Raw genomic sequence first — 7,055 nt, 5'->3', positions numbered from 1 at the left:
AAAAGTTCACATCTTCTGGTCCTGTTTGGGGAAAAAGAAGCAGTTCAGTCTGGATGGAGCTTAAACATATATAAAGATATAAATAAGATGAGAAGAGAGGTGTGGAAAGAGAGCATCAGGGCCCTGTGTTTGCTGTCTATTGCTACATAACAAAGTACCCCAAACCTGAGAACTTCAGACAGCAAACTATTGCTATTTTACAGTTTCTGAAGATCAGAAATCTTGGTGCAGCTCAGCTGGGCTTCAGGGTCTCCCATGAGACTCAATCAAGGTATCTATGAGTCTGGGCTGCAGTCGTCTGGGCTGCAGTCGTCTGAGCCTTGTCTGGGGCTGGAGGATCCACTTCTAAACTCAAGCGGCTATCAGCCAGAGGCCTCACTTCACTTGCAAGCAGGCCTCTTCATGACAGCTGGCTTCCCCTAGAGAAAGTAATGAGTAGGGGAGACAGAGAGCAAGTGGAAAAGAAGTTTTAATGTCTTTTGTAACCTGATCAGGGAAATGATGTACCATCATTTCTGCCATATTCTATTGGTCACACAGACTGACCCTTGTACAGCGTGAGAGGAGCCACACAAGGGTGTGGGTGCCAGGGGGTGAAGATCATTGGTGCCATTCTAGAGTGTGACTTGCACAACTACCATTTCAGTTGTGCAGATGAGGCCCTGCACATCTCTAAGGGCTTTATGGATAATGTAATTATCATGAAAGAATTTTTGAAAAGTAGAACGTATGAGCAGATAAACAGAACTTGATGCCTCATAAGATGTACTTAGTGACATTGAAACATATGCATTTGATGAATGGTAGAATGAGCAAACAGAATGGGTGAACAGCTGGAAGGATAACTGAAGGTCTAGATGAGAACTAATAAAGCCCCAGCTAGGTTGGAGACAGTGGGATGAGAAAGAAGGGCCAGATGCCCAAGTCAATAGCACAAAGGCTGAATTGACAGGATGTGCTGTCTGTCTCTAAAATAATTCAAGCGGAGGTCTGATGATGTCTCCATTCTCTCAGCAAACATTGTGTACATGTTAAATACCACACACTTTGCTATAGATTAGGGAGAAGAACTGAGGAAAGTCAGGAGCTCTCCGTCTATTTGGAGAGAAAGATAAGTAAACAGAAGGTTAAAATTCTAGGCAATAAGCACACTCCTGGGAAATAGAAAAGGGCATCTGGGGGCTTGAGAATGTGTTGTCACTTTAGTTGGTGGGCCGTGCCAGAAACAAAGGGCCCCTTAACTGAGTCAGGAGAGATGAGGTTGAGGAGATCAGTAAGGGTTTTTCAGGCAGAGAAAATGCACAGCTCAGAAATCCAGAGCTTAAAAAAGTGGCCCCACTGGCAGACCAGCACAGGTCTATGTGGGTATGGCAAAAGGTGGGCCTGCAAAGGTAGGCAAAATTGAGGGCCAGAAGTGTCCTTGGTCCCAACTTATGGAGTGTATGTTTTATTCAGCATGTATCAAACAAGGTAATCATCACATAGACTTGGTGTTTCAGAAAGAGCTCTTGGGCCGCTATCTGAAAAGAAGATGAAAGAAAAAGACTGGAGACCAGAGAGCTGTAATCTGGAAGTAATCTAGGTGAAAAATAATTAAGATCTAAACACAGGTTGTTATTGTGTGGCTGCAGGAAAGAGGGCATTTAAGAGATATTTTAGAAGTAGAGTTGATCAGATCATGTCATTGATTAGATGTGGGGCATGAAAGAGAGGTAGGTGTCTAGGATTACTCCGGCCTTGGTAACTAGTGGATGGTTGTCCTAACCATGGGAGCAGATAATGCAGGTGGAAAAGCAGTTTTGGGAGAGAAACAGTGAGCTTCGTTTTGGATGTGCTGCATTTGTGAAGAGCGTGCTATTCCGGCAGGAAAGACAACCATGCAAACTTGGAAGGCAGAAGAGAAACCTGGGGCTGGGCAGATTGGCTCAAGAGTTATCAGAATGCCCTCCTGTATAGGTGAGTTCATTGGCATGCATGTAATTGCCATGGGAGAATATGTTATGTGGAAAGTGAAGGTGTGGCCGGGTGGGGAACACTAACCAGTGTGCAGCTGGTGAAACAGACTGTTGGGACTGAGAACAGGAGATTCAAAGATGGGAAAAGTAAAGACAGAGAGGCTAAGGGAGAAACTGGTGCTGAGAACCAAGAACTTGCAGACAGGAGTTACAGACAGTGTCAAATGTGTCAGAGAAGGGAACCAAGATATGGATGAAATGATGTCTACTGGATTCAGCTGCTGGTCTCTCTCTGGCCACAGAGGCCAGAGTACAGAGGGCTGGCAAGTGAATGTAAGGCAAGAGAATGTAGAGATTCAGCAAGAAATGTGACAGTGGAAAGAAGGAAACAGAAGGTTCTGTAGCTAAAGGGGAACGTGGGTTTGCCGGAGACTGCAGACACCACAGGAAGGATCATATAAGAAGCTGATACGGAAGTTGGGCAGGGAAATGCTGGGAAGGGAAGGACAGGTCCCTGGCGAGGGCTCCACCCCCAGCCCTGTGCCCAGGGACCTAGGTGAGACAGGCACTCCTGCCTTTGTGCCCAAATGTTGCATTTCCCAAGACCACCCTGGCCTGCCACGCCTCCATCCTGTACCTATAAAACCCCCCGAGACCCTTGGCTAGGCGCAGTGGCACACGTCTGTAATCCCAGCACTTTGGGAGGCCGAGGTGGGTGAATCACTTGAGGTGAAGAGTTCTAGACCAGCCTGGCCAACATGGTGAAACCCCGTCTATACTAAAAAAAAAATACAAAAAATTAGCTGGGTGCTAATTAGCAGGTGCAGTGGCTCAAGCCTGTAATCCCAGCACTTTGGGAGGCTGAGGCGGGTGGATCATCAGGTCAGGAGTTCAAGATCAACCTCGCCAAGATGGTGAAACCCCGTCTCTACTAAAAATACAAAAAAAAATTAGCCAGGCATGGTGGTGGGCACCTGTAATCTCAGCTACTAGGGAGGCTAGGGCAGAGAACTGCTTAAACCTGGGAGGCGGAGAATGCAGTGAGCCGAGATCGTGCCACTGCTTTCCAGCCTTGGCGACAGAGTGAAACTCCATCTCAAAAAAAAAAAAAAAAAAAAAAGTAAATAAAAAATAAAGGGGCCGGGCGCAGTGGCTCATGCCTGTAATCCCAGCACTTTGGGAGGCTGAGGCAGGCGGATCACGAGGTCAAGAGATCCAGACCATCCTGGCTAACACGGTGAAACCCCGTCTCTACTAAAAATACAAAAAATTAGCTGGGAATGGTGGCGGGCACCTGTAGTCCCAGCTACTTGGGAGGCTGAGGCAGGAGAATGGTGTGAACCCGGGAGGTGGAGCTTGCAATGAGCCAAGAGGGCGCCGCTGCACTCCAGCCTGGGTGACAGAGCGAGACTCCGTCTCAAAAAATAAATAAATAAATAAAATAAAATTACCTGGGTGTGGTGATGGACGCTTGTCATCCCAGGTACTCAGGAGGCTGAGGTAGGAGCATCACTTGAGCCTGGCAGACAGAGGTTGCAGTGAGCTGAGATCGAGCCCCTGCACTCTAGCCTGGGCAACAGAGTGAGACTCTGTCTCAAAAAAACCAAAAACCAAACAAACAAACAAAAACCCCCGAGACCCTTGCAAGCAGGCACACAAGTGACTGGACGTCGAGAGGAACACGTCGGCAGAAGAAGACACAAGCAGCCGGATGGCTAAAGGACAGCTAGGGGAGCACGCCTGCGGAAGAGCACCTGGCATTCTTCCGGCACACCAGCAGCTAGGTGGAGGTTGGCCAGGGCAGTCGAAGGAGAGTTCAGGCCACCTAGCAGCCTGACTCCAGGGGAAAATCATCTCCCTTCTGGCTCCCTCATCTGCTAAGAGCTACTTCCACTCAATAAAACCTTGTACTCATTCTCCAAGCTCACGTGTGATCTGATTCTTCCAGTACACCAAGGCAAGAACCCAGGATACAGAAAGCCCTCTGTCCTTGCAATAAGCAGGAGTCTAATTGATCTAACACAGCTGCCTACGGATGGCTAAACTAAAAGAGCACCATGTAACACATACCCACTGGGCCTTCAGGAGCTATAAACATTCACCCCCAGACACTGCCGTGGGTTCGGAGCCCCACAACCTGCCCGTCTGTATGCTCCCCTAAAGGTTTGAGCAGCGGGGCCCTGAAGAAGCGAGCCACTCCCCCATCACTCACCCTGCAAAGGGGGACAAGGAAACTTTTCCAATTTCAAAGTCATATCACTAGGAGAAAAGAAGAAACAGACACCAGATCCTATGTGGGGAGACTCACTAGTATGTGTGAGGGCAAGAGAAATGGATAGCGGGCAAGACGTTAAAAGAATTTCTAACCTAATTAGTAGGTTCGTTTTCTGTGAAAGAGGGAGAGTTGCTGGGATGGAGTGCAAAAAAGAGAAGTTTCAAAATAACTAGTGTGAAGTAAGGGGGAAGGAAGTGTCTAGGGCCACAGCAAAAAGGATTACAAAGCAAACTGAGGAACCATTTGAGCGTCTGAATTTATCGTGGCACCAATTAATTGATTGATTGATTCAGTCATTATTGGATGCTTCAAAAGGTTTAGGTAATGTTGGTGCTGAAGGATTCACTGAGGACTAAAAGATTCAGACAAGCAAGGGTCCATCCACCCCAGAGGAGGCAGAAAGCTGCCATGCTAGGCAAAGGCCAGACAAATGTATCAAGGAAAGCTTTGCTGAGGTTTTAAGGTCCAAGATGAGTTCTGATTGGTTGATAGGGGTGAGCCAAGACAACAACTGTTACTCCTGGGTAGATTTCCCAAGCCATATCCACATTCATGCATGGCATGAAGTCCCATGCCAGCCACTATTGTAGCTGTTGGTAAGTATAAGTCAATTTTCATTTGCACTAACATGCTTACTCTATACCTGAATATGTGAAAGATATGAAATATTTCATATTTAGGTGGTTGGCAAATACAGAAATAATATCTTTATAAAGGTCTACTAAAAATAGTTTCAAGAATTAGTAGCTACAGTCATATTCTTTTTTTTAATTATTTTCTAGGAGGTAATCTAGTTTCATGAAAGCAAAGAAGAGAAGGAATGGAATATGATGTGCGTGTTCCAATCCCTTTGTTCATCACTAGCACATTTCACTCCTTGCCTGCTTAGAAAGCCAATAAGCCAACAAACCCCCAGGCCAGGGCCCACAAACTGGCATCCACTCTAGCCCTTGGAAGCAAGTCAGACCAATTACAGGTTGTGGAGACACTGCAGTTTGTTTGAAAATATTAAGTAGGTCAAATTGTCCTGTGAAATGTAGGCTGACAACTTCTTTATTAGTAAGAAGACCATTTATTAATGTATTCAACATCTGTTTCTTGAGTGCAAGACAATTTGATGGAGATTTTGGGTCTTACTAAAATCAATCAGAGGCCCTGTCCTCTGGAGACAACCTGCAGTCTAGAAGGGAGATGTCTACAAAAGGCTCATACAGGGCAGCAAGGTTATATGCCCAAGAAATTTCACAATAACACAGAGTAATCAGCCCATTGATGTTTTTGGGATCTCCCACTGGCAGCGAAGTTCAGGAGTGGTGAAAAAAAATACCCAGATTTCCAGGTCAGCATGCAGCTGCTAAGCTGGCCCATGATACTATATATAGTCTAGGTGTCCTGAAACTTTACAGCACCTTTTAAAATCATGTCCAGAAAAATTAGTTAAAATCAAACTGGATTAATGAAAGTCGTGCGCTGATCTAGAGGCAGGCAAAAATGCCAAAATGTGCCAAGAGAAAAGCAGAAAGAAGCAACATCATACAGCTTAGAGGTCAGGGGTGATCTTCTGTAGATGCCCGAGCAGAACATTGGCAATCAGGAGGATGAGTACAGGCAGCTTATCTGTGAACAAGCTGAGCTGCAACTGAGCAGCAAAAGAGCAGTAGAGCAGATAGTGGAGAGGATTATGAGTAGAAAAATAATGACCTCTACGGAGTCGCACGAAAAGGGTATGGCTGACATCCTTCCATCCTACAGGGAGATACTGTTGCAAAGTTTAAAGGAAGCTTTCCCTAAGATGTACAAGCTGAGGAACCTAGAGAACATGCTGGTAGCAGGACCTAAATAATGCTATGGGGCATAGAACAGTAGGTAGCAGGGCTTCACGGATGACCGGAAGAAAGGGAAAGGCACCAGCAGTCCTACCTTGCCTAAATTGAGGGAAGAAATTGTCACCTCCACCAGGTAAGTACCCTTCATGGGCATTCCCAGAGCATCTCAAGGTTTCTTTGTTTTCTTTGTTTTTGTTTTGAAACAGGATCTCTGTTGCCTGGGCTGTTGTCACTCTATGCCCAGGAATAGCTCACTGTAGCCTCAACCTATTGGGCTCAAGCAGTCCCCCAGCTAAGTCTCCCAAATAGCTGGAGTAGCTGGGGCTACAGGCACGTGCCACCACACACAGCTAATTTTATTTTTAGTACAGACAAAGCCTTGCTATGTTGCTCAGTCTGAGCATTTTGAGTTTATGCTTCGCATGGCACAGGCTTATAATTGCCTGCTTACTTGTATATGCTCTTGCCTAGACTAATATCTCCTTGAAGTATCCATTATTTCTCTGTTTTCATTACCCAGCACATTACTTAGCATATAGGTATCATTCAATGTTTGCTAAATGAAACAGTGATCAAATGACTTTTTGTTGGGTTTGACTTCATGTTTGCATGTAGGATATAGGAATGTGAATAGCAGGGCATTGGATCAGGAAGACAGAGTGAACCTACAGTGAATATTTGCCCTTTGCCCAGCATGTAAATCATCTCCCTTTGCTTTTGAGGAATTTCCAGTTTCCTCTGTGGAATTCACTACTTTTGAGTCATGGAAGGAGGCACATCTCACCTACCACTAAAGATGGCCAATCTGCCAATTGCTCTTTCTCAACCTCCCTTGCTGCTGGGGCATGAGCATATCACCTAAGTTCTAACAATCAGACCACTCCCCTGATTTTGGATAGAAAGCGTGTAATGCAAGGAGGGACAGAAAAAAATCCACTGTGGTTTGGTGACAGTTGCAGAATTGAGAGCTTGGTGCAGTAGCATGATGGCTGCCATAGA

The sequence above is a fragment of the Homo sapiens genome, chromosome 5 (genome assembly GCF_000001405.40).
Source record: "Homo sapiens chromosome 5, GRCh38.p14 Primary Assembly".
Lineage (NCBI taxonomy): Eukaryota > Metazoa > Chordata > Mammalia > Primates > Hominidae > Homo > Homo sapiens.
This window is presented reverse-complemented; position numbering follows the sequence as displayed.